Source organism: Homo sapiens, chromosome 5, assembly GCF_000001405.40.
Source record: "Homo sapiens chromosome 5, GRCh38.p14 Primary Assembly".
Lineage (NCBI taxonomy): Eukaryota > Metazoa > Chordata > Mammalia > Primates > Hominidae > Homo > Homo sapiens.
In genome coordinates this window covers 168,309,039-168,335,963 of record NC_000005.10, presented here as the reverse complement: position 1 = coordinate 168,335,963, position 26,925 = coordinate 168,309,039, and the positions used below count along the sequence as shown (strand labels likewise).

The window sequence follows — 26,925 nt, the reverse complement described above, 5'->3', positions numbered from 1 at the left end:
AGCGATTTGCTCTAAGTGACACAGACTCCCCTCTCCCCTTAGGGGGAGGAAAGCAAGGGCTTTCTGGGTAGAGGGAGCTGTGTCTGTATCCTGGTTCTGCTAATTAATTTCTCTAAGCCTCAGTTTAGTAATTTCAGAAATGAAAGTAATCATATCTTCCTCATCAAGTTTTATAAACAATTAAATTAGCAAATGAATGGAACATGCTAAGAAGACTGGAAATAGTCAAGTGCTGGCTGCTAGGCCTACTTGGAGGTGACACAGTGCTCAGAACAGAGGCTTGGGAGCCACTAGATAGATGGATCTCCATTCTATCCCAGCACTTCCACCTCTAGCTGTGTGACTATAGGCAGATCAGTTCAGTTCCTTTAGTCCTAATTCCTCTTCTGTTTAATTAGCATAATAATTCTTCAAGTACAGGTGTACTGGGAGGTCCAGCTCAAATGAGATACACAAAGTGCTTAGTACATTGCCCAGGAAATTCTAGATGTTCTTTCTTTCTTTTTAAGAGAACGGAGTCTCGCTATATTGCCCAAGCAGGTCTCAAACTCCTGGGCTCAAGCTATCCTCCAGTCTCTGCCTCCCTAAGAGCTAGGATTACAGGTGTGAGCCGCCATGGCTGGCCTAGATGTTCAATAAACACTTGATATTATCTTCTGTGACACCTCATTAGGAGAACTGCTGCTGGGATGTCTCTGCTAGCACCCAAGAAGTACCCACCAGGAACTTCAACTCCTCTAGGGTGTGCAATGCCGAGAAACCTTGGAAGATGCACCTGCACCAGCAAAAAGTAGGCCTGGGTGATGAGTGGACTTAGAAGTGACTTAGAAGTGACTTTTGAGGGACTTAGAAAGCCCTCACCTCACAGCTCCCTCAGAAAGAATGTGTTGCATGATTGCACCTTTTATCTTATTTTTTTTTTAGAGGGGAAAAAAATCAAGGCTAGAACTTCAAGGTCAGGTTCACTTCCCTGCAGGCTCCTCCTAGGCTGCAGTGAAATTTCAAGAATTCAGCCTCTGGGCCCAGTTTACATTCCCACCCTCTCCGTATCCAGGATACCAGAGGGACCGGTAGCATTCCATCCCACCAATCAGCTTCTTCAGCTGGGCTCCAGGCGCTCAGGCGCTCAGTCACATCCTCAGCTGCCTCCCTGCTGGAAGCTGGGCCTAACCCTTGTTCTTGGGAGAAGCATTGCTGCTTAGCAGGAGAGTCATTGATTCATTCAGTTGCCCAAAATATATGTTCAGAACTCACTAGAGCCAGGCACTGAGGATACAGTTTTGTGGTAAACAGCCAGAGTCCCCTGTCCTTAAGGAGCTTGCAGTGCAGTAGAGAAGGCAGACACAGAAATAATTTGGGCAATTCTACAAAGCAGCAGCACACAGGAGCATGAGACTGTAAATGGGGGTGGAGGGGGGAGGGTCTGATCTTACTCCTCACAGTTATAGAAGGCTTCCCAAGTGAGTGTGATTAAACTCAGGGCTGAAGGATGAGTAGGTGTAAGTAGGTGAAGAGAGCAGGAAAGATAACTCCGGTTAGAGAGGCCAGCATTTGCAAGTCTCTATAATGCACAAGGTTGCAATGTCTCTCGAGACCTGTTGCCAGAGTGCAGTGGGGGTGGGGCAGAGAAACAGGATGGGGCCGGAGAGGCAAAATCAGGGTCAGTCCTGTGTTGTTGAGTGTCCTGTGAGCCACGTTAGGGAGAGAAGAGTTTTTTGTTGTTGTTGTTGTTGTTGTTTTGAGACAGGATCTTGCTCTGTCACCTAGGCTGGAGTGCAGGGGTATCATCATAGCTCACTGCAAGCCTGAACTCCTGGGCTTAAATGGTCCTCCCTCCTCAGCCTCACCAGTAGCTGGGGCCACAGTTGTATACCACTATACATGGCTTTTTTTTTTTTTTTTTTTTTTTCAGTAGGGATGAGGTCTTGCTAAGCTGCCCAGGCTGGTCTCCACCTCCTGGGCTCAAGGGATCCTTCCCCGTCTTGGCTTCACAAAGTGTTGTGATTATAGGCATGAGCCCCCTTGCCAGGCCAGGGAGAGTAGACTTTAAGAGCCATGACAGAACATAAAGTGTTTTATGCAAGGGGATGATCAGGCTATAGTTCTGTAAGAATCTTGTAATGAGTTCATCTTGAAGGAGTGGGAGGGGGCTGGTAAGGGATAGCAATTTCTGAGTCCTCAGCATAGAAGGGATAGCAATTCCTAAGTCCTTAGCATAATGAACCTGGGCTGATAAATAGGGAAGCTGTGCAGGTAAAGCCTGGGCGGGGGGATGTGCTCCTTCCAAATGTCCCTCTCCTGCACTCTCTCCTTCAGGACAGTTCCGCAGCCACACCAGTGCAGAGCTCAGTGTTTCTGGACAGATAGCACTTCAGAGCAGCCTCTACAGGTTGCAAAAGTCACAGAGGTGCTGCCCATCATTATGAACCTCTAAACCTAGACCTGGCCTCACAATGAGATCTTGTCTGGGAGAAGAAGTCACATTCTCCACAAAGGGCTCACAGCACCAAGGGTGCATTCTCAGGCATAAAGGTATGAAGAGACGGTCAAGGATTATAAAGATGCACATTTTCCATGAATCTCAAGGGTGCAAAATAGGCATCATCCACTCCCAGCTCCCGAAGGGAAAAGAAGGTCTGCAGATGCATGCTTGACATTATACATAGGGGAGGTACTCAAAAAATACTTGAGGAAGGAGAGGAGAAAGGGAAAGAGGCGGGCAAGGAGATAGTCAATTGGTTAGTGAATTCGTAGTTTCTTTGAAACCCCTGTGAGCTTCATGGAGTCCTTGGTCCCCTACAGATGCCAGTTGGCTTTCAGCCTGGTTAGACAGAGAACCAAATCTGGCTGCCTGGCACCGGGGGTGCCATCCCCAGAGATGCTGAAGTCAGGAGGTCTGAGGTGGGGCTTGAGACTTGAAGGGTTCCCCCACCATTTTTAATAAAAGTGAAAAATGGCCAGGCACAGTGGCTCATGCCTGTAATCCCAGTACTTTGGGAGGCTGAGGAGGGTAGATTGCTTGAGCCCAGGAGTTTGAGACCACCATGGCCAACAGGGTGAAACCCTGTCTCTACAAAAAATACAAAAATTATCCTGGTGTGGTGGCTCATGCCTTCAGTCCCAGCCACTTGGGGGACTGAGACAGGAGGATGGCTTGAGTCTGGGAAGCAGAGGTTACAGTGAGCTGAGATTGTGCCACTGCACTCCAGCCTGGGCGGCAGAGTGAGACCCTGTCACAAAAAAAAAAGAAAAAGAAAAAGAAAAAACCAAAAACATACAGAAGTAACCCACAAATACAAGTAACAAGAAACTTTTCCCTCCTCACCTACTATGCAAACCCTTAAGTTACAGGGAAGTTAATATTTCCAGTGTGCCCTTCCAGAAATGTTTTCACAGACATATCAGCAGGTACACTAACCCAGCACACATGCATGTGCACACAAAAACACATATACATGCTGATCAAATACATACACATATTCTACTTCATTACTAAGAAAGTATCACTTATAAACAGAATTATTAGATGCAACCAGAAAAGGAAAACACTACCAATAAGTTATGACCCAAAGCTTTCCTTACCTTAGAATATTTATATGTACTGAAAAAGCTCAGACTTTTTTTAGATATGGCCTTTATTATATGACTCTCTTTTCCATGTATGACAAGGAAGTTAAATGAAATGAATGAACTATGGTATAAGATTGAGCCCCTTCTCAGCTCTGAGTCATCAGCACCTGTGTGTTTCTCATTCACAGTGTCATTCTTTTGTGCTACTGAATGTTAAGGCATTTATTTTTTATCTTTTTTTTTTTTTTGAGACAGAATCTCACTCTGTCACCTGGGCTGGAGTACAGTGGCATGATCTCAGCTCTCTGCAACCTCCACCTCCTGGGTTCAAGTGATTCTCCTGCCTTAGCCTCCTAAGTAACTGGGATTATAGGCACGTACCACCACGCCCGGCTAATTTTTGTATGTTTAGTAGAGATGGGGTTCCCTCATGTTGGCCAGGCTGGTCTCAAACTTCTGGCCTCAAGTGATCCACCCGCCTTGGCCTCCCAAAGTGCTGGGATTACAGGCATGAGCCACCGTGCCCAGCAGCATTTCTTGAAAGAGAATTCCGTGATTCTCTTCCAAGCCGCTGACAATTACTTTGAATTTTGATTCTAGCACTTTCTTGACTTCACCAGAAGATGTCAAAGAAAGTTTTTCAATAAGAACAAAGACCTGTTTGCAAATGGTTTTTCCACGGTTTTCAATGAAAACACAGAGGGGCCACAGCTATCACGTTACCTTAACAGAAACGACATTATTTGTGCATGGTGCAAGCAACGATAGCAATGGCCAACAGCATTGATAAGAGTACCTCACATTCGAAGATATTAACGTGCAAAACAAACAAGTTCATCTTAAAACTGATCAATCACACTGTAGGACATACACAATTTCCCTTAACTCACTCTCAGTTGTCTTGGGGTTGCAAACTCAAATTCCAGCATGACCCAGGCAGGTAACCCAGTGAAGTGGGAAGGGTGGACTGCAGTGAACACAAGCTTTCAAAGGGTGGTCCTGGAGAAGCAGCTATTTCAAAACCATGTGGGCCAAACATTTCTATGGAACAGATAATTCCTTGAAGCCCATCTGTAAAACTCTAGTTGATGGGAGTGTATACTTTTAACTCCATTCTTTAAACATATAAACTACTGTTTTGAATCTTGCTGAATGCTCCATCATGTATCTTGGACTCCTTTCCCTATGAGCACCTGTAGCTCTACCTTAGACTTGTCAGTGTCCACAAGGTACTCCATTGCATGGGTGCCCCAAAATGTATCCACACAGCCCCCAGGGAGAGAGATTTGGGCTGTTTGCTGGGCTTGCTACTCTTACATACAAGGCTGAAGTGAGGAAGTGGCAGGGCTGCAGTTCTGAAGCATGACCCCCTCGAGAAGTGGGGAAGGGGTGGACATTCTGACATCCCCAAACTGGAGAATGGCTATGTTAGTCACCCAGCTCGTCTTGGCAGCTCAGCACTGAGGGTTCGAAGCTTCTGGGAAGGTCAGGGGAAGGACTGGTTGTAGAGGATTCTGAATGCACCAGCTCTTTTTATAGTCAGAAGATTCTGCAGCTTTAGGGGAGAGGTGTGGCCAACTCTTCATCCACCTCTGGCTTCCTCAATTGCAGAGCCCTGTAGCCCCCAAACCCGACTGCTGCCTGCCAACAGTCCCAGACACCCTCACTGCATCCTTCTCTCTGCTTTATGTTCCTTTTCTTCCAACAGCCCCAACCCCTTCCAGACTAACAGAGGAAAGAGAAGAATGAGTGCATGTAGGATGGGGGGAGGTCTTAGCTGTATTTGCCCCAGGATCACCTCCCACTACCTCTTCCCCTTCTAGCACATTCCATGCATACATGGTGGGTGCATAGAAGTAGGGGTAACAATAGTGACCTCAAGAACAATTGACAGTGTTGAGAAAACACGAGCCAATTAATCATCATAATTCTGAAGGTGCCTATTGTTAGCTCCATTTTATTGATAAGAAGAAAACTGAGTCTCAGAAAAGGTGAATGCCTTTGCCTAAGTTACACAACTCATGAGTAGCTTCCCTCCATAGAACATCCCAGTTTTTCAAGGATTTCTTCCAAGGGGTTGTTGCTCAGTCAGCACATGGAAACCAGAAGTTTCTTTCCTAGACAGTGTGGGTCCCAAGCCGATTGCCGAGACCCTCCTGTCCAATGCATTGTTGCATTCCTAGTGAGTGAGGGTGGCAGGGGCACGGGAACATTTCTTTTAGGAATTTTTTTGGAATTTACATTTTTAACCAAAGCCACAGCTGTTTTTGTTTTGTTTTGTTTTGAGACAGGGTCTCGCACTGTCACCCAGGCTGGGGTGCAGTGGTGCGATCTCGGCTCACTGCAGCCTCCACCTCCCGGGTTCAAGGGATTCTCATGCCTCCGCCTCCCAAGTAGCTGTGGCTACATACGCCTGCCACCACGCCCGGCTAATTTTTGTATTTTCAGTAGAGACAGGGTTTCACCATGTTGGCCAGGCTGGTCTTAAACTCCTGACCTCAGGTGATCCGCCTGCCTCAGCCTCCCAAAGTGCTAGGATTACAGGTGTAAGCCACCACGCCCAGCCAAAAGCCACAGCTTTTAAGTAATATTGCTTTCTATCATTTCACTTTCCCCTTTATCTTTCTACCCTTTGAATTATTGTTTTGCTCATTCCTTCCATTTTCATGCACTGACCTCCCTGGCAGCAGAAGAAGCAAAGCAGGCTTTCCTAACTCTCTCTCATTCCAGTGGGTCCAGAAATTTGCAGAACCTGGCAAAAAGGTTCTAACTCCAGGTTCATTAGCATGGCTTGTTAATTATAAACACTCCCCTTCCTCCCAAACGCCTAAAACAGCAGATTAAGTTTCAACTTTTGCTGGCAGGACACTTGCTTCGGACATTCCTTCTCCCCTCACCTCCTAGGATTTACAACACAAAAGTAAACATTTACACTGGTTAAGATTTACCAAAAGGAAGTGTGGTCTGGAATGCTTCCTTTGAAGTTCTGCCTCACGAGAAAAAGAGAACCCTTTTAAATATATAAAATAAGAAAATAAGCTCACGTTGGAAAAGAAAACCTCAAAGCCTTCTAGATGATATCCCACTTGGGCTCAGCATAACCAGGCTTTCTGTTTGTCCCTTGGGCCTTGAGGGCAGTGTATGTTAAATCCTAAGAATCATACAAAACTACAGGTCCCTGCTCAGGGTAAATTGTGTTATCAGTCAGCAGTGCAATCAAGTGGTCTCCTGGAAGCTCTCCGATAGGACTTTCTTCCTGACTGAGATATCACCAAGAGGGAAGGAAGAAACCAAGTACCCTACAGAGGGGGAGCCATGGGGCAAGACCAACTTATCAGGACAGAAAGAGCAACGACATCCACCTGTTCGTGCCAGAAAAAGCTGATTCTTTCAATGAGGCTTTTCTGCTTTACTGCAGGTGGATGAGGGGTGGAGCCCAGACAGGTGGATGCCAGCTGTGCTGACTGAGGGAATAACAGATGCTTTTGCAAGCAGGGGCACCAGACACCGAGGTCATGCAAGTACTTTTGGGGAAAGGGAAGTGAAAAAACTCCCCACAGGCCAGGCGCGGTGGCTCATGCCTGTAATCTCAGCACTTTGGGAGGCCGAGGCGGGCAGATCACGAGGTCAGGAGTTTGAGACCAGCCTGGCCAATATGGTGAAACCCCGTCTCTACTAAAAATACAAAAATTAGCCGGGCATGCTTGTAGTCCCAGCTGTTCGGGAGGCTGAGGCAGAAGAATTGCTTGAACCCGGGAGGCGGAGGTTGCAGTGAGCTGAGATCATGCCACTGGACTCCAGTTGGGACGACAGAGCAAGACTCCGTCTCAATAAAAGAAAAGAAAAAACTCCCCACACCCACCCTAAGATTGCAGGTCAGTGGCAATGCTCTAATAAGGAAAAGGGGAATGACTACAGTTGCATGGCATTCCTATCCAATCAGACTCTTCACCCTCTAGAGATCGTGCCTCCACCACTATATACCCCTATTGGTCAAGATCAACCAAGAATCTTGACCATGGAGAGCAAGTCCCAAGAACTTGTTGTTCACCAGCAAGTGAAGAAAGGGTGCACCAGGAAACAGCATCATTCATAACCCATTCTGTTCTAGCCCCTGCTGACTTCTTTACCTGATTAGCTCGCTGGTCTCTATGACGGCCCAGTGAGGCAGATGTTATTATGCACACTTTGTGGGTGAGATCACTGAGACTAGTTAATGCTCCCAAGGCTGCAACTTATGCCAAAGCCATCCAAGAGGCAGATGTGTTAGAAGCAGCGCTGAACTTGGACTCCTAAATTGTGAAAGGCTCAGCTCTGCTTTCTGTTAGCTGGGAGACCTTAAGCAAGTTACTCAACTCTGCAGGTATTTCTGGTCCCACTCTGTTTTGAGCAGCAGCGTTTCAATGGGTTGCACATTTATGAGAGAAGTCCACATCCACCCACATGCTCTAACTTCTTGACCCACCCAGCTGAGTGTTCAGAATTTATCAGCATGAATGCAACAAATTTTGGTAAGGCTTTCCCCTCACTCCTGGGTTCCCTATAAAGTGGGGAGCATATTCCTGCCAACACGAGCTTATATTCTCATTTGATATCCTTCCAGAGTGGAGACAGCAGCCAACTTAATGCTATACCACACTCAGGCTTTTGTTAAGGGAATATCTACAAGCACTGGCCTTTCATCATTCTTCAATCAAACAGCCCTAGCAAGGTCTCACCTTACTGCAGAGACAAAGCAGATCCAGAGCCCCTGGGCATTTACTCTTGCTACCTCCAGCTTCCTAGTGTCTCAAAAAGCCACAATCTCACTCAGAGGAACACCCCGGTGCTGGTTCTAAATTTGATCCAAGGACCATAATTGCAAACCCATTTCTCTAAACTGTAGAAGCTCAATCTTCCAACTTGCCAATTGGGCATGAAACAATGTACCTTACAAGGTTTCAACGAAGAGCTAAGGAGGCCCCAAAAAGTAAGATCCTTTCCATCATAAACATTCCTGCTCTTAGGTCCTGGGCCCTAGAGCACACTATCCGAGCGAGTCAGCATGAGACATACATGTCAGAAACCAATACAAAATACATATCACAGGATGAACAAATGAACCAAGAGGTAAATGAAAGAATGAGGGAAAGGAGAGGGGGAGAAGACTGGGAAGACCAATGGGGGCCCTGAGTCATGCTAAGATATTTTGGGGTTTTCTATGAGCACTGGAGAACCATGAGCAATTTCTGAGAAGGAGAGTAATTTGCTCTGGAAAGCCCTGTGGAAGAAAATTCCAAAAGTAGTTGCAACAAGAGATTGCTGGAAAATGATCTTGGAGCCTGGTTACCGTTAGCTGACTGTTGCAATAACCAAAGCAAGAAATGACACCTTAACTCAGACACTGGCCTGCATATGGCCAGTGCATAGAAGGGTGGGAATGAGTCAAGAGACCTCAACCACCAAAGGCTCTCAGCAGCTCTGTCCCTTCAAAAATGCAGATTTGCAGAATAAACTTTCCCACATGCTTATTTTTGTTCTAGGTTTCTACAAATGCGAAATAAGACTATCCGGTCCGGCCGGGCACGGTGGCTCACACCTGTAATCCCAGCACTTTGGGAGGCTGAGGCAGGCAGATCATGAGGTCAGGAGTTCAAGACCAGCCTGTCCAACATGGTGAAACCCCATCTCTACTAAAAATACAAAAATTAGCATGGTGGCGCGTGCCTGTAATCCCAGCTACTTGGAAGGCTGAGGCAGAAGAATTGCTTGAACCAGGACACAGGAGGCGGAGGTTGCAGTGAGCTGAGATCGCATCACTGTACTCCAGCCTGGGCTACAGAGCTAGACTCCATCTAAAAACAACAACAACAACAACAAATAACACTATCAAGTCGGGGCCGGGCACGGTGGCTCATGCCTGTAATCCCAGCACTTTGGGAGGCTGAGGCGGGCGGATCACCTGAGGTGGGGAGTTCGAGACCAGCCTGACCAACATGGAGAAACCCTGTCTCTACTAAAAATACAAAATTAGCTGGGCGTGGTGGCACATGCCTGTAATCCCAGCTAGTAGGGAGGCTGGGGCAGGAGAGTCGCTTGAACCTGGGAGGCGGAGGTTGCGGTGAGCCGAGATCACGCTATTGCACTCCAGTCTGGGCAACAAGAGCAAAACTCCGTCCCAAAAAAAAAAAAAAAAAAGACTATCAGGTCGGTGTCCTGAGCCACTAATTCCTATCCCCATTTACGCCTTATTACCTTAAAACAAAACAAAACAAAAAATCATTACTGTCCACTCACATTCCTAGCAGCATTATTCACAAATAGCCAAAAGGTGAAAGCAACCCAAATGTCCACCGACAGAGGAACAGAAAAGCAAAATGTGATATCAACATACAAGGGAATATGATTTACCCTTAAAAAGGAAGGAAATTTTGACACAGTCTACAACATGGATGAGTCTTATGTATTATTTCACATAATGCTAAGTGAAACCACCTGTCACAAAGGACAAATACTATGGGATTTCATTTATATGAGGTATCTAGAGTAGTCAAACTCATAGAGCCAGAGACAGAATAGTAGTTTCCAGGGGCTGGGGGCAGGGTGGAATGGGGAATTGTTTAGTGGGTGTAGGAAGATGAAAAGAGTTCTGGAGATGGATGGTGGTGATGGTGGCATAATAACAATATAATTAATGCACTAAACTCTACCGTTGAAAATGGTTAAGATGATTAATTTTATGTTATGTATATTTTACCACAATTTTTTAAAAAGGAAAAGAAATCATTTCTCACATGGAATGTCAGTGCAAATGGGACTGCCTGTAAATGATGGAATTCTTTGCCACCAGATACAGCCTATCCAGGAAGCTTCTCCTCCTCTTCCAGGCAACTTTTCATTATTGCTTAAAAATTCCCCTCCCCACTGCCCCACCTGGTGCTGACTCAGCTCCTGTCAGTATCTGAATGCCAGGAACCAGCCTGAGGGCGGACACTGCCACCTTCTCCTGTGTCCTAGGACACCCAGAGTTCCCAGAGACTGACAATGATGCCATCCACCACTCCAGGACCCCAGCCCCTGCCAATCTCAGCGAGCATGGCCCCAAGTCCTGACTGGCATCACACGTGAGCTTGGCAGGTTCCAGAAAGCTCTCTTCATGGCAAGAAAAGCTAGGGTGGGGTACCCTGTGGGAGCTGTTGGTAGGGGCTCCTATCAGAAGGCCCCAGGGCCTGCCATCTCAGAGGACAAGGAGGACACACGTGGTCTCAATGCTATGCACAGAATGAGGCCATGGAGGTTAGCTTGCTTCTGCCCACTTCTGCCCTTGCCAGCGAGTCAAAGGAGATCAGGACTGGAATGAGGAAATGGCTCCATCTGTCCTCTCCCCTGCAAAGAGCTGGAAAGCTTGCTCTACTGGATCCAGTCATTTATTCAGGTATTTGAACTCAGCTACTAGGTGTCTACACATTTAGGATGGTCATGTCTTTTTGATGAATCACCCTATTATTGTAAAAGCTCTCTGCATGCCATGCTGACAGCCATTCCAATATTCTTTTGATTAGTATTGGTATGGTATATCCTTCCTATCCTTTTACTTGTAACCTATGTATTTATATTTAAAGTGAACCTGTTACAGGCAGGCTATATACTTGAGTCTTGTTCTTTTTTTCTACTTTTTAATTAAAGTGTTTAGTCCATTTACTTTTACTGAATTATTGATATAGCTGGATTTAAGTCTACCAATTTGCCATTTGTTGTCTATTTGTCTTACCTGTTTCTTGTTTTCTGTTCTGCTTTTAAAAAAAAAATCATCCACAATACACCATTATTATGTTTGCTCTAAAGAGTCAACTATCTTTTAAAGAAATGAAGAAATTTTTAGTTTTTTCTATTTCTGGTGCTCTTTTAATTTCTCACGTAGATCTAAGTTTCCACCTGATATCATCTTCCTTTGGCCTGAAAAATTTATTTATTTTTTTTTTGAGACAGAGTCACGCTCTGTTACCCAAGCTGGAGTATAGCGGCACAGTCTCAACTCACTGCAACCTCTGCCTCCTAGGTTCAAGCGATTCTCCTGCCTCGGCCTCCTGAGTAGGTGGGACTGCAGGTGAGCACCACCAGCCTGGCTAATTTTTGTACTTTTAGTAGAGACAGGGTTTCCCCATGTTGGTCAGGCTGGTCTCAAACTCCTGACGTCATGATCCGCTCGCCTCAGCCTCCCAAAGTGCTGGGATTACAGGCATGGGCCACTGCACCTGGCCCTGAAAAATTTCCTTTAACATTTCTTATTGTATAACTGTGCTAGTGATACTTTCTCTAAGCAATTTATTTTATCTGAAAATGTTTGGATTTTATCTTCATTTTAAGGATACTTGTGGTTGGATACAGAATTGTTAAGTTGACAGTATTTTTCCCTTTCAGCACCTTAGAGATGTCATTCAGTTATGTTTTGGTTTGTATCGTCTCTGATGAGAAGTCCGCAGTATTCTTACTGTTCTCCTGTATGTAATTCCTATTGTTCTCCTGTGTGTTATTCCCTGATGATTTTAAGATTTTTCTCATCTTTTGTTTTCAGCAGTTTGACTATGATGTGTCTAGGTGTAGTTTTCCACATGATTTTCCTGGATTTATTGGGCTTCTTGGATCTGTGGGTGATATCATTTTCATCAACTTTGGAATTTTTCAGCCATTATGTCTTCAAATACATTTTCTTTTCCAATCTCTCTACCTCCTTTTTTATGGGAATGCAAATACACATTTCTTAGACTGATTAATAATGTCCCACAAATTGCTAAAGTCCTGACTTTTTTTTTCCAAGCTTTTTTTCCTTCTGTGCTTCAGCTTGGGTACTTTTTATTTTATTTTAGACAGGGTCTCACTCGTTCTGTTGCCCAGGCTGGAATACAGTGGCATAATCATAGCTCACGACAGCCTCTACCTCCTGGGCTCAAGTGATCCTCCTGCCTCAGCTTCCCAAATAACTGGGACTATGGGCACATACCCCACGCCTGGCTAATTTCTTTTTTATTTTAGTGGAGATGAGGTCTCACCATGTTGCCCAGGCTGGTCTTGAACTCCTGAGTTCAAGGGATCCTCCAACCTCAGTCTTCCAAAGTGTTGGGGTTACAGGTGTGAGCCACTGTACCCAGCCTCACTTGAATACTTTCTATTGCCCTGACTGCATGTTCACTAGTCTTTATTTTTTTTTACAGCATCTGATCTACTATTAAACTCATCTAGCAAATTTTTCATCAGATGTTGTAATTTTCATCTAGAATTTTCCTTTAGTTCCATTTCTCTACTGACTTATTTTAAATCTTTAAACATATCTAAACAGTCAATTATCTTTTAAAGAAACGAAGAAATTTTTTAAAGTCATCTCTAGGTCTGTTTCTATTGACTGACTTTCTTCATAAACTGAGTACCTTTTCTACTGTTGGCTGGACACTGTCAATATGAAGTTGCTGACCATCTGAACTTTGTTTTCTTTCTTTCAAGAATGTTGAGTTTTGTTTTGATGCCTAATTTATTGGCCGATCAGCTTAATCTTCTTGAGAATTGTTTTGAAGCATTGTTAGGCTATGAAGTGATTTTAAGGATGGAAACCACATGCAAAAAATGGTGGGGTAGAAAAGCATACAGAATCTGGGTCCCTGATGACAATGTGGCACCAAACCACCCTGGTCCAGACCGACCTGTCTCTTGATTCTTTTTCTCTTATGTAACAAAGAGATAACATCTATCTTGAAGCCACTGTTATTATTGATCTCTACTACCAGCAGCTAAACACTATTTCTATTAAAATTAACAAGTATTTACTAAGTAGCAGGCCTTGTGCTAGGTGCTGAGGATAAAGCAGTTTACAAGATAAATGTGGCTCCTGCCCTCTTAAAGCTTTTAGTCTAGAGCAAGGATAGAGAACCATGACCCACAGGTCAAATCTATCCATTGCCTGTTTCTGCAAATAAGGTTTCTACTGAGACACAGCCACACCTGTTTGTCGATATATTATCTATGGCTGCTTTCCTTCCACAGAGTAGTTAAGACAGAGATGGTATGGTCCACAAAGCCTGCCTAGTCCCAGAAGGGTTTCCAACCCTTCTCTAGGATAGCAGTTCTTAAACTTTTTTTTTTTTTTGTATTTTCCAATCTCCCTTCAAAATTGGTGAGAAGAGTGGTATATTTTACATTTTTGCAAGTCTCCTCAATGTAATGTATGGTTTAATAGCAGACAGTGACTCCTAAGAGCTGCATTTGCATCAATCTGTTACAAAATCACATGTCATGTTGCCTACAGAAAACTCCACTGTATTCTTGTAAGAGGTTGAAAGTTAAAAAGGCAAGTAATTTCTTAGTATTATTATGAAGCTTTGACCTCGCAGATCTCCTGAGAGGATCTCAAATATTTCCAGGGATCACACTTCAAGAACTGCTGCTCTAGAAAAGTTCTAGGCTTCCTAGAACAGAAGAGGCTTAAAAGAGAAAAGAAAAACCTCCTGAGCTGACATTATGCAGAAATAACACGAGGTATTAACTAATTACAACAGAACAATTGATTCAAAAGAAAAGGATATCACCGGCTGGGCACCGTGGCTCACGCCTGTAATCCCAGCACTTTGGGAGGCAGAGGCAGGCGGATCACCTGAGGTCGGGAGTTTGAGACCAGCTTGACCAACATGGAGAAACCCTGTCTCTACTAAAAATACAAAATTAGCCGGGCGTGGTGGCACATGCCTGTAATCCCAGCTACTCGGGAGGCTGAGGCAGGAGAATCGCTTGAACCCAGGAGGCAGAGGTTGCAGTGGGCCGAGATCGTGTCATCATTGCACTCCAGCCTGGGCAACAAGAGTGAAACTTCGTCTCAAAAAAAAAAAAAAAAAGGATATTGCCCTATGAGAGAAGGCAAATACTGAACCTGTCCCCCTTCAGGGAGTTGGAGAATGATTTCTTGAGGAACTAACTTTTAAGCTGGGCCCTGAGAAGGAGGTTAACCAGATGAAGGCAGAAAAAGGCAGAAGTTCTTCTCTCCCTCAGTACACCTGATCTTCCTGCCTCGCTAAGGAAATTGGGTTAGGCTTTAAAGAAGGATCAGAGATGGAGATTACTTTCTCCCATGGCATCTCCTCTAGAAAAAGAACCTGGTTCTTCCCAGACCAAGTTGGAAATCCGCTCTGGGAAGAAAAGGGGAAGCTATAACTTAGGGTCCTTCTGATGCTCATGGAATTAATCCCGGTGGCACAAAAGCCCAGGTATCTCTGGGATGAGGGGGATGTCCTACCAAATACGGCACTGTATGGAGGCCCAAGTGCTGAGACTCAGGGGACGCAGGCCTGAGGACAGTTATGCAGGGTGCAGCGGCCTACGGTAACCCATGTAGCAACAGAAACCCTTAGCTAACTGCCGTAATTTAAGGCAATTAGGAGCCATTCATCATCCAGATGGCTATTGGCTCTAATCGTTACTGGCTGAAGGAACTATATATAGCAGCTACCTTTCCGCTCCATTCCCAGGCCTTGTTCCTGTCTTCTGGTTGCCAGTTCTGCACTCACTCATTCTTGAAACCAGACATGCCAAGTTCCAGGAGGGACATCGGACAGAAACTGCCCCTGTTCTTCTGCCCCTTGACACACCCACCTTTGGGGTGTGAAAACCCACCAGTTCCAGCCACCATCTCATTTCAGCCTCCCAAGGCCTTTGCTCTACTTGAAAAAGCCTCAGCAGAGAAGAAAGCCATCCCGGGAGGATGAAGGCAGCAGATTCTGCTCTGTTCACTGACAGCACTGATGCCCAGCACCTACCAAACACACAGAGTCTTACACATGTTATGGGACTTATCTCTATTAATTCACTGAGTTATCCTGGTAACCTGATGAGATTAGGTCACTTATCCCATTTCACAGACGGGAAACTGAAGCACAGAGAGGTCTTGTAACTGACTCAAAGTCACCAAGTTAGTAAGGAGAGCAGACAGGATTAAAACCTGGGAGTTTGGCTTCTAAGATCAGTTCCTTGAATGTTACACTCTACTGCCTTTCTAGCTTTGAAGTGGCATGAGGAGTTGGCTTTTTAAAAAGCATATGGGCCAGGTTCAGTGGTTAACGCCTATAATCCCAGCACTTTTGGAGGCCAAGCCAGGCAGATCACCTGAGGTCAGGAGTTTGAAACCAACCTGGCCAACATGGTGAAACTCCGTCTCTACTAAAAATACAAAAATTAGCCAGGCATGGTGGCGGGCGCCTGTAATCCCAGCTACTTGGGAGGCTGAGGCAGGAAAATCACTTGAATCTGGGAGGTGGCAGTTGCAGTGAGCTGAGATCGTGCTAGTGCACTCCAGCCTGGGCAACAGAGCAAGAAAACTCCATCTCAAAAAAAAAAAAAAAGTGTATATATAAATGCTCAACATCACTCATCACTAGGGAAATGCAAACCAAAACCACAATGAAATACCACTTCATACCCATTAGGTTGGCTACTATTAAAAAAATAAAAATAAAACAATAATAAGTGTTGATGATGACGTGGAGAAATTGGAACCCTTCTGCACTGCTAGTGGGAATGTAAAATAGTGGAAAACAGATGGCAGTTTCTCGAAAAATTAGAAATAGAATTACCAGGCCAGGCACAGTGGCTCATGCCAGTAATCCCAACACTATGGGAGGCCAAGGTGGGCGGACTGCTTTGAACTCAGGAGTTCAAGACCAGCCTGAGCAATGTGGCAAAACCTTGTCTCTACTAAAAGTACAAAAATGAGCTGGGTGCAGTGGCTCACGCCTGTGGTCCCAACTACTCAGGAGGCTGAGGCTGGAGGATCACTTGAGCCAGGAAGTAGCGGCTGCAGTAAGCTAAGATCGTACCACTGCACTCCAGCCTGAGAAAGAGACCTTGTCTCAAAAAAATAGATAAATTACCATGTGATCTAGCAATTCTCCTTCTGGGTATGTACCTAACAGAATGGAAAGCAGGGGCAACAAACACATATTTATTTATTTATTTATTTTTGAGATGAAGTCTATGTTGCCCAGGCTGGAGTGCAGTGTTGCAATCTCGGCTTACTGCAACCTCTGCCTCCTGGGTTCAAGTGATTCTCCTGCCTCGGCCTCCCGAGGAGCTGGGATTACAGGCACCCGCCACCACGTCCAGCTAATTTTTGTATCTTTAGTAGAGATGGGGTTTCACCATGTTGGCCAGGCTGGTCTCAAACTCCTGACGTCAGGTGATCCACTCACCTTGGCCTCCCAAAGTGCTGGGATTAGAGGCGTGAGCCACCACGCCCGGCTAACACATATTTATACACGTATGTTCACAGCAGCATTGTTCACAAGAGCCAAAATGCAGAAGCAACCCAAGTGTCCACCAACAGATGAACTGATTAACAAGACGTCGTGTATATGTGTGTATGTATGTGTATATATTGCAACACATTGTATGTATATACATCTCACATATGTACGTACAATGAAACATTATTCAGCTTTAAAAAGGAAAGAAATTCTGACACAGCCGACAACATAGATAAACCTTGAGAACATTATGCTAAGTAAAATAGCCAGTCACAGGCCAGGCATGGTGGCTCATGCCTGTAATCCCAGCACTTTGGGAGGCCAAGGCGGGCAGATCACCTGAGGTTAGAAGTTTGAGACCAGCCTGGCCAACATGGTGAAATCCTATCTCTACTAAAGATACAAAAATTAGCCAGGTGTGGTAGCAGGTGCCTGTAATCCCAGCTATTTGGGAGGCTGAGGCAGGAGAATAGCTTGAACCCAGGAGGTGGAGGCTGCAGTGAGCTGAGACCACGCCATTGAACTCCAGCCTGGGCAACAAGAGCGAAACTCCATCTCAAAAAAAAAAAAAAAATAGCCAGTCACAAAAAATGACAAATACTCTAAGATTTCACTTATATGAGGCAGTCAGAGAAGTCAAATTCATAGAGACAGAAAGTAGAAGTTTTCAGAGTTTCAGTTTTGCAAGATGAAGAGCGTTCTAAAGATGGATGGTGGTGATGGTTGCACAATATGAATGTAGTTAACACCACAGAGCTGTACATCGGAAATGGTTAAAATGGTAAATTTTATATTACATATATTTTGCCACAATTAAAAATAAATTTTTAAAAAGTAAACTAAGAAAAGGTATCTGTGTAATAGATCTCAGAACCTTTATTATTGTAATTAAGGTAAAAATTATACAATCTTATAAAAAATTGGGAGCTGGTAACATTTCTGAACTTCTGGAACCAAGAGAACATTTGCAAACAGATTAAGTGTTGTGGACTTTCCATGATCTGCAGGCCAAGCCAAAGAGGTGATTAGCAGGCTTAAACTACTGATTTCTAATCAGAAAGTTAAAAAAAAAAAATCATACTTTATCAAAGAGAGCAGCAACAAAGGGCCAATAAACCCAGGAGTTACACAATAGAAGCTGAATTGTGCAGTATACCAAGACCCTCGGGTCTCTCCAGCACTGCATTCCTATCTGTGAACGTGTTCTCAGAAAGCCAGGATTTTCATGACGTCACTGGGCTATTGCATTACACTGATAACGCATCATTCAACACTGTATGACCTCTCACAAAGGCAGGCAGTGACTCTGAATGAAAATGAGGACATCTGGAAGGACATATTCTAGGAGTCATTAGGCAATTAGATCTAAACTGTCCCAGTCCACTTGCCTCTCCTTCCCACATAATCCAGCCTTTTAATCTCTCCAGTAAGCTAGGATCCTGGGAATACTGAGGAGCAGGACTTCTTTCTCTCTGAAAAGGCCTCTGTGTTCACATTTCTCAATAGCTGTATATCCTAAGAGGGCAGGAGGCAATGGGGGAAATAGGACAGGATGCCTTGGTGGGGGAAGTCCTGGGTTCAGTGCCTGGGAACTGACAAGAAGCATGGGTCTGGAGAGTCATCGCAGCCCTGTCTACTCTGCACCCCACTACCATCCTGCCAACCCCTGGGCCACACCTCCCATCCTCACTGTCCAACAGAGCAGGATCTGTGGGATCTGGCTGCGAGCTCCAGGAAGGAGGCAGGACTTCCTCCAGTGCCTGAATTCCAGGCACTGCACCCCGGAGAGTGCGAGAGCTTAACTAATTCTCAAATCAGGACACACAGACAAACGCTCTGAGAAATGTCAGAGAACTCAAGGAGGGTGAGTGATGTCACATCAACACGCCAAATACCTTGAGACAATGCAGCACTGGCAGGCACTTGGCTGCGAAGTCAGAGAGCCCAGACTGAAACCCCAACCCTCTTGCCAACTTGCTGTGTGACCTCGGTAAGTTCCCTAACCTCTCTGGGCCACAGCTGCCTCATCTGGAAGGTGAGGACAAGTGAAAATGTAAATGTCTATAAAATCCCTCAGTACGTGGCAGCTATCACTACTGCCGGGTGAGGTTTCCACAGCATCTAACAAGATTTTTGAACTATATTGTCACTTTACTCTTTTTTGAATATGAAATCTTGACCAAATGATAACAATGTACTATTTTCTTCCTGGAGGCAAATCAAGTGTAATTTGGTGAGAAGGGAAGAGAAAGGGAATGGGTTCAGAAACAACATTCTCATAAAGAAAAAAGCACAAAAGAAACTCAGTAATTGCCAAAACCTTGTAATACCTGACTCCCTCATGGAATCCCAGCAAATTTCAGAAGGATTCGGATACAGCCCATGTTGAACTAAAGCTGGAGTCTCCCCTTGGACCAATTCAATTCCAGAAGCATTTGCTAGGGCCTGCTGTGCACTTAGCCCTCAGCTGCTCGGCCCTGCTGCCTACAACCCAGCCAGTCCTTTCTTTCTCTTCAAGTAACCAAGGGGTTCTTCACCTACTGCAGACGTAGAGGGCAGGCTGCCCTCACCTGGACCTCCTGGGCTGAGTCCCCTGAGGTCACAGCAGTCTGGGCTGACCCTAGAGTCTCGCTAGGTCAGGCCTCTCCTTTCCAAAGCCACCCTGCCCGGAGCCAGCCCCACAAAAACACCCCCAGCCCTCACATACATGCAGATAAGCGAGCCAGCTTCCAGGAGGCACCCTGGACTGGTAAAGCAGGTTTCTGGTGCTCAGCTTGTTAAGAATAAGGAAATGCATTTTGTTTTTCAGAGCCAGGTGATGGACAATGTCCTTTCGATCCCAGGCACCTGCTCTCCCTTCACTGATGCGATGAAGACAGCCTGTCTGGGGCTGCTGGTATCTTTGTTTGATTTCTGTTGGGTCAACAGTTACCAGTTTGGCAAATAGCAATTGCGAGCCTCACAGAGAAAATCGTGGTCGCAAATTCTGAGAAACGCTGAGGGGGAAGGACTCTTGGGAGTTTCATGGTCCAATAGTTCTATTCTTCAGCTTCTCCTGCCTGAAAAGAGGGGGGAGGCCTGAGCATTCTAGCTGTCCTGGGTTTGGGGTCAGCCCTGGGACTGGAAAACTGTTCTTTCATCTGTTTTTCTGTAGCAGGAAGAATGTCAAGCTATGGAGTCTCCCTGAAATACAGACAGGGATCTGAGCTTACACCAGGGACACCGCAGTCCCAAACAGGTGGGCTGTGCCTCCTGCCAGCCAGAGCCTTGGCCTCTTCTTGGGTCTGATGCTCGCCCTCTGGCCCCAGACTTGACCTAGGAGTTCAGACTCACCAGGAGAGGAGTCAGAAGGTGACAGCTTCTTAACGGGAAGCGACCATTCGTCACCCCTACTCTGTAGCCCTTCCGTTGCCGCTCAGCACCCTTCACTTGCACTGATTCCTTTCTTAGTACCAATTATAGGCAAAACTTTCTGCTGGGCCTGGAGAGACTGGGCAGGATGCTTCCCCATTCAGGGGAGCAGTCAGGCAGAAAGAAACTACTACTTTGTGGTAGATTCATATTAGGAGAAAACACAGTGGGCCCCTACACAAGATGGGACAAAGATGGCAAGGAAGGCTCCCAGGGAGAGGTGGCCCTTCAGCTGAAGTTCACCAGGTGGGGCAGCACAGGGAGGTAGTATCAGAGCGCAGCGGGCACACGGTGTTGACACAAAGGAACGATCAAGCAAAGGGGCAAAGAGAGTGAGAGGTTTTCGAGATTAAGGTGTATTAGAATCATCTGGGTAGCATATAAAAATGCAGTTCCCAGAAGCCCCACTGGGATTCTGATTCAGTAGGCTTAGGGTGGCGGCCCAGGAATCTGCATTTTACAAGCTCCTCTGGGGAGTCTAAAGCAGGAAGTCTGTGGACCACACTCTGAGAAAGCCTGCTTTGAAGGAATGGAAAAAAAAAAAAAAAGTTATTTGTGGCTTTGATGGAATATTGGTTTATTTTCCTGGAATGTTCCCAAAGGGACTTTGGACAGCTCACTAATGACTCGTTCTTCAGTCATGTTACACAGACATACATGCCAACGTCAAACAAACTGGAAATGAATCTGGGGGGTGTCAGCAGCCTCCCTCACACCAACGGACTGAGTGTCTTCTGAGACGGGCGGGGGAGTGTTATCTCAGGAATGTGTTGGGGCAAGGTCCGTGCTTCCGATAAAATGCTGTGCACAGGTGAGCCAGGGCCTGGCGAGGGCAGTGTCCTAATCCCTGATGGGAAAGCCCTCTGGAATCTGGCCACACCTCCTGCCACCCTCATGCCAGGAAAGGTTAGTTGCTTCACGAGCCTCTCAGACTCTCTCTGCAGCCCGTGAATGGCTCCTTGTCCCCACCTGTACCCAGTCCCACACCTGGAGCCCACCTCTGGCTTCCCAGGACTGCTCCAGGCTCAGGTTCCCCCTGGCTGGGGCCAGGGTTTATGTTTAGGGGTCCCAGCTCACCCAACCAAAGCCTTGGCCCAAGGCATCATTGTGCTAGTCCCCTCACAGCAATATTTCTTTCCTTTTTTTTTCTTTTTTTGAGATGGAGTTTCACTCTTGTTGCCCAGGCTTGAGTCCAATGGCGCAATCTCGGCTCACTGCAACCTCCGCCTCCTGGGTTCAAGTGATTCTCCTGCCTCAGCCTCCTGAGTAGCTGGGATTACAGGTGTGCACCACCACACCTGGCTAATTTTGTGTTTTTAGTAGAGATGGGGTTTCTCCATGTTGGTCAGGCTGGTCTCGAACTCCCAACCTCAGGTGATCCACCCGCCTCAGCCTCCCAAAGTGCTGGGATTACAGGCATGAGCCACCATGCCTGGCCCCCTCACATCAATACTTCTCCCAGGCAGCCTGTGACTTACTTTGCCAGCTCAACTCCCTGCCTGGGAAACTTATTGTAGACTCCAGTTCCTCCTTGTCCTTTTCTTCCCTCTGTTCTCTGAGGACTGAAATCCTGCCTCTGTGCCTGCCACCTCATTGCTTATTAGAGCCAACAGGCACCACCCTGCCATGAGTGCTCCCACCTCTGGCTGGCCCTCATCCGCTGTCCCGTGTTCTGTAGCCCTGGTGACCTCCTGCATAGCCTGAGACTGCTCTGACCTTTGGCACCTGACCTTCTTGGTAGATGCACTGAGACCTCAGGACCTTGCATTTTCTCTGCAGGTGTGAACCCCTATCAATTGAGCTCCATCGCCCCACCCGGCTTCAATCTCTTATTTCACATGGGGCTCTGGGAATAAGCTGCGAAGCTCCTTTCTCTAGATAGTATTTATAGCTGGTTGTAAAAGTCCACTGTTTATTGATACCACAAGTATGTAGTGTGCCCTAAATCTGAACTAGAAAGAGGCACAGGCAGCCACAAAAGAAAAAAAGAAAAACAACAGAAGTAGTATTGAATAGTCAGTGCTACTCAATGTTAACATGCGTAAGTACCTCTGGGGATCTGGTTAAAATTCACATTCTGATTCAGGGGATCTGGGGTGCAGCCCGGGATTCTGCTTTTTTTTTTTTTCGTTTTTGAGACAGTCTCGCTCTGTCACCCAGGCTGGAGTGCAGTGGTGCAATCTCGGCTCACTGCAACCTCCACCTCCTGGGTTCAAGCAATTCTCCTGCCTCAGCCTCCTGAATAGCTGGGATAACAGATGCCCGCCACCACGTCTGGCTAATTTTTGTATTTTTAGTAGAGACGGGGTTTCGCCATGTTGGCCAGGCTGGTCTCAAACTCCTGAACTCAGGTGACCCACCCATCTCGGCCTCCCAAAGTTCTGGGACTACAGGCATGAGCACTGTGCCCGGCTGGGATTCTGCATTTCTAATAAACTCCCAGGCAATGCTGACGTGCTGGTCCACGGCCCACACTTCAAGTAGCAAGAGGGTAGGAATCACACAGACAAACAGGAGTTTGCCACAGGGGTTTGAGGCAGAAACCACCAGGCCCTGTGAACTGCCATGAGCATTCAGAGCAATTTACTTTCAAAGTTCTGAGAAAGAATGTCCTTAGGCTGGGCACAGTGGCTCATGCCTGTAATCCTTGCACTTTGTGAGGCCGAGGCGGGTGAATCACTTGAGGTCAGGACTTCGAGACCAGCCTGGCAAACATGACGAAACCCTGTCTCCACTAAAAATACAAAATTAGCCAGGTGTGGTGGCACACGCCTGTAGTCCCAGCTACTCGAGAGGCTGAGACAGGAGAATTACTTGAGTCTGGGAGATGGAGGTTGCAGAGATCATGCCATTGCAATCCAGCCTGGGCAACAGAGCTAGACTCTAAAAAAAAAAAAAAAAAAAAAAAGTACTTAGGATACCAGTCACCCATGACCTACCCTGAGTGGGCAGCTGCTGCGGTTGGCACCACATGACCCCTGACGTCTCCTGTACCAAGTGATAGTCCAGCTCAAGGCTGGCTCTGTGATATTTTCAACTCAGCATCTCTCATGATTTGCAGCAGCTGAGCTGAAGGGTTAGGAGGCATAGGCTGGGGCCATGAAGTCCATTGCGGTCACCTGCAAACTAATGCTGTGATACTGTAATAACCATTAACATTTTAAAGCATTTATGATGAGCCTTGCTTCTCTGCTAAATGCCTTAAATAAGATAATCCATGCTTAATTCTCACAACAACCCTTCAAAGTAGATGGCAGTTTAAGACCACAAGCTCTGGAGCCAGACAACTTGAGCTTGAATCCTGGCTTTGCCACTTTCTAGCTGTGCGACCTTGGGCAAATTACTCAATCCCCCTGTGCCGCCACGTCTTCATCTCTAAATAACGACAATATTAGTACCTTTCTCAGAAGGTTGGTATGATGGTTAGTTGAGCTAATAAATATAAAACAGTTAGAACTGTGCTTTGCACTCAATAAAATCTTGGTTATTGTTCCTTTTTTTTTTTTTGAGACGGCGTCTCGTTCTGTCACCCAGGCTAGAGTGTAATGGTGCAATCTCGGTCACTGTAACCTCTGTCTCCCAGGTTCAAGTGATTCTCCTGCCTCAGCCTTCTGAGTAGCTGGGATTACAGGCATGCACCACAATGCCTGGCTAATTTTTGTATTTTTTTTTTTTTAGACTGAGTCTTGCTCCGTCACCCAGGCTGGAGTGCAGTGGCACGATCTCAGCTCACTGCAACCTCTGCCTCCCAGGTTCAAGAGATTCTCCTGCTTCAGCCTTCTGAGTAGCTGGGATTACAGGTGTGCGCCACCATGCCCGGCTAATTTTTGTAATTTTTTTTTTTTTTTAGACTGAGTCTTGCTCTGTTGCCTAGACTGGAGTGCAGTGGCACAATCTCGGCTTACTGCAACCTCTGCCTCCCAGGTTCAAGCAATTCTCCTGCCTCAGTCTCCTGAGTAGCTAGAACTACAAACACCTGCCACCACACCCAGCTAATTTTTTGTATATCATTTTTAGTAGAGATGGGGTTTTGCCATGTTGGCCAGGCTGGTCTTGAACTCCTGACCTCAGGTGATCCACCTGTCTTGGCCTCCCAAAGTGCTGGGATTACAGACGTGAGCCACTGTGCCTGGTCTATTATTACCCTTAGCCTTATTTTTACAAAGCAAGGGAACAGGCTCAAAGTGATTAAGCAGCTTGCCGAGGGTCACACGCTAGTAAGAGGCAGAACTGACTCATAAATGAGGGTTTTAGGAGGCAGAGGAAACCATGACATAGGTGGGTAGGTATAGAGGGAGGTGTGGGGAGATGCTGCTGCCTCGGTTCCTCACACCTCCCTGTTGCAGCCCGCACCTGCCCAGCAGCAGGGGCCGCTATTCCTTGCCTGAGATTCCTGTGCTTTTTTCCAGAGCCATCTTGTATGGGCCTCTGTAGCCTTCGACCAGAAAGGGCCTGACTTGAAGCAGACCCCTTCCTGCTGGAAGTAGGGAGGGAGGCAGATGACAGATGTCCCATGGAGCAGGAGGCACTAGGTGCTGCCTGGGAGGGGAGGGGAGGAGTCAATGCATACAGGTGGGGCTGGTGAGCTGCAGTCCAGCAGGAAGAATGGCAAAGTGTAGGGCATGCTTGGGAACTGACACCAACCCAGGTAGGCTAGAAGCCAAGGACCAATGAAGAGAACTCAGCAACCATGGCTACCAATTATTGGCACCTGCAAGGGTGATGGGCACTCTGCAAAGTGCTTTACTTTATTTATTCAGTTTAATCCTCATAAAAACTGCATGAACTAGTGTGGTTATGTAAGAGAACAACCTTATTTCTTAGGAAATTCACACCAATGTATTTAGCAGTAAAAAGAAACGTATCTCCAAGTTATGCTTTTTTTTTAGACAGGGTCTCCCTCTGTCACCCAGGCTGGAGTGCAGTGGCACAATCATGGCTCACGGCAACCTCGACCCCCTGGGTCCAAGTGATCCTTCCACCTCAGCATTCCACAAGATGATGGAACCACAGGCATGCACTACTATGCCTGGCTAATTCTTTTATTTTTTGTGCAGACAGAGGTCTCCCTATGTTGCCCAGGCTGGTCTTGAACCCCTGGGCTCAAGCTATCCTCCCACCTTGGCCTCCCAAAGTGCTGAATTTACAGGCATGAGCCACTCTGTGCCTGGCCTCCAACTTACTCTTAAATGGTGTTTGTTTGTACATAAATATTTTATATATATCTATAAATGATATACATTATATGTACAATTTCTATATCTTTGGATACATTATATATACTCAGAGATACAGAAATGGGGTGTATATATATATATACACACACACAATTTAAATGGTTTAGATAAATAATTATATATAATATATTCAGAGAGAAAGAATAAGAGAATATAAGGTAAATGGTCAACGCAAAAAAACTGGTAAATCTGGGTAAAGGGTATATGGAAATTTCTTGTACTATTTTTGAAATTTTCCTATATGTTTGAAATATTAAAATTAAAGAGATACAAAAATATTACAGGGGAAAGGTCTTCTTAAGACACTTAAAAATAGGATGAAGTAAACACTATCATTCTCATTCTTACAGATGAGGAAAGTGAGGCAAAATATGAGATGCTTAGAAGATAAGGGTGAGACCAGCTTCGAGAAGGTCAGCAGTGTGTCCCCCAGCACCCCAAGGGGACAGGGAAGGGGGAGGGCTGGTCAGCGCTGGGTTGTGTTAGACTGAGCTGGTACCCTCTCATGGTAATGGCAGAAAAGGCAAGAGGCGAAGTTGTTTGAGACCAGAATGGGATTCAGTTTTCGATTTGTTGTAGTTTGTCGTGCTTGTCTAGACACAGAAATGATGTCCAGTGGGTACCTAGAAACAGACACCTGTGGCTTCATGGCAGAGGAGGTGGTTGAGGGCTTGGGGACACAGGACACCCCTAGGGAAGAGCAAAGAGGGAGAGGTCTCCATGTTCTACTAAGACAGAGGGAGAGGTCTCTATGTTCTACTTAGAGGGAGAGGTGTCTATTTTCTACTAAGACAGAGGGAGAGGTCTCTATTTTCTAAGACAGAGGGAGAGGGGTCTATTTTCCACTAAGCTTCTATAGGAATAAACAGAAAAGGAATGAGGTGTCAGAGCCTGCAAAAGAAAGGGTGGCAGAACTTGGCAGCTAGATGAAGGAAGAAGGAATGGAGATGGATGTTTCTGGAAATAGGGGCTGCCTGTGGAGAGGGGGCTGGGTAGGTAGGGACCAGGTGTGAGGAAGATCTACATTCCACTATGCACCCTTTGGACCTTAAGCATGGGAACCATGCCTATGTTGTAATCATTACAGAGATACCGTCTCACGGTAATGGCAAAAAAGGCCAGAGGCAAAGTTGTTTGAGACCAGGACTGGATTCAATTTTCGATTTGTTGTTTGCGGTGCTTGTCTAGACACAGAAATGTCCAGTAGGTACCCAGAAATGGGCACCGGAGGCTTCATGGCAAAGGATGTGGTTGAAGGCTTGGGGACACAGGACACCCCTAGGGAAGAGCAAAGAGGGAGAAGAGTGCAAAATGCCCCACCTCCTCTGGATGAGGATGACCCTGTAAAGGAAGGGAGTTGGGAGCACTGCTAGGTGCTACAGGAGGTCAAGGAGGATACCACTGTGTGGCCCCTGGTGACACTTCTGGAACCTCGCTCTGAGGCTGGG

At 46.1% G+C, this 26,925-nt stretch overlaps 1 protein-coding gene across 17 annotated transcripts in view, besides 5 other annotated features; it reads right to left on the bottom strand.

Annotated features, from left to right (window-relative positions):
* The window catches only part of WWC1 (WW and C2 domain containing 1), a 180,659-nt gene that overhangs the window by 136,340 nt on the left and 17,394 nt on the right, over positions 1-26,925 (bottom strand). The window lies entirely within an intron of this gene.
* Positions 6,528-7,444: an enhancer, noted in NCBI's record as "NANOG-H3K27ac-H3K4me1 hESC enhancer chr5:167755525-167756441 (GRCh37/hg19 assembly coordinates)". NCBI's record gives its function as "activates a minimal SCP1, AML or CMV promoter by ChIP-STARR-seq in naive H9 embryonic stem cells {active_cell/tissue: H9 hESC(naive)}" and the evidence as "EXISTENCE:reporter gene assay evidence [ECO:0000049][PMID:30033119]".
* Positions 7,073-7,192: a silencer, noted in NCBI's record as "silent region_16596". NCBI's record gives its function as "represses an Ori minimal core promoter by ATAC-STARR-seq in GM12878 lymphoblastoid cells {active_cell/tissue: GM12878}" and the evidence as "EXISTENCE:reporter gene assay evidence [ECO:0000049][PMID:35858748]".
* Positions 7,445-8,361: an enhancer, noted in NCBI's record as "H3K27ac-H3K4me1 hESC enhancer chr5:167754608-167755524 (GRCh37/hg19 assembly coordinates)". NCBI's record gives its function as "activates a minimal SCP1, AML or CMV promoter by ChIP-STARR-seq in naive H9 embryonic stem cells {active_cell/tissue: H9 hESC(naive)}" and the evidence as "EXISTENCE:reporter gene assay evidence [ECO:0000049][PMID:30033119]".
* Positions 17,319-17,408: an enhancer, noted in NCBI's record as "active region_23589". NCBI's record gives its function as "activates an Ori minimal core promoter by ATAC-STARR-seq in GM12878 lymphoblastoid cells {active_cell/tissue: GM12878}" and the evidence as "EXISTENCE:reporter gene assay evidence [ECO:0000049][PMID:35858748]".
* Positions 21,152-21,675: an enhancer, noted in NCBI's record as "H3K4me1 hESC enhancer chr5:167741294-167741817 (GRCh37/hg19 assembly coordinates)". NCBI's record gives its function as "activates a minimal SCP1, AML or CMV promoter by ChIP-STARR-seq in primed H9 embryonic stem cells {active_cell/tissue: H9 hESC(primed)}" and the evidence as "EXISTENCE:reporter gene assay evidence [ECO:0000049][PMID:30033119]".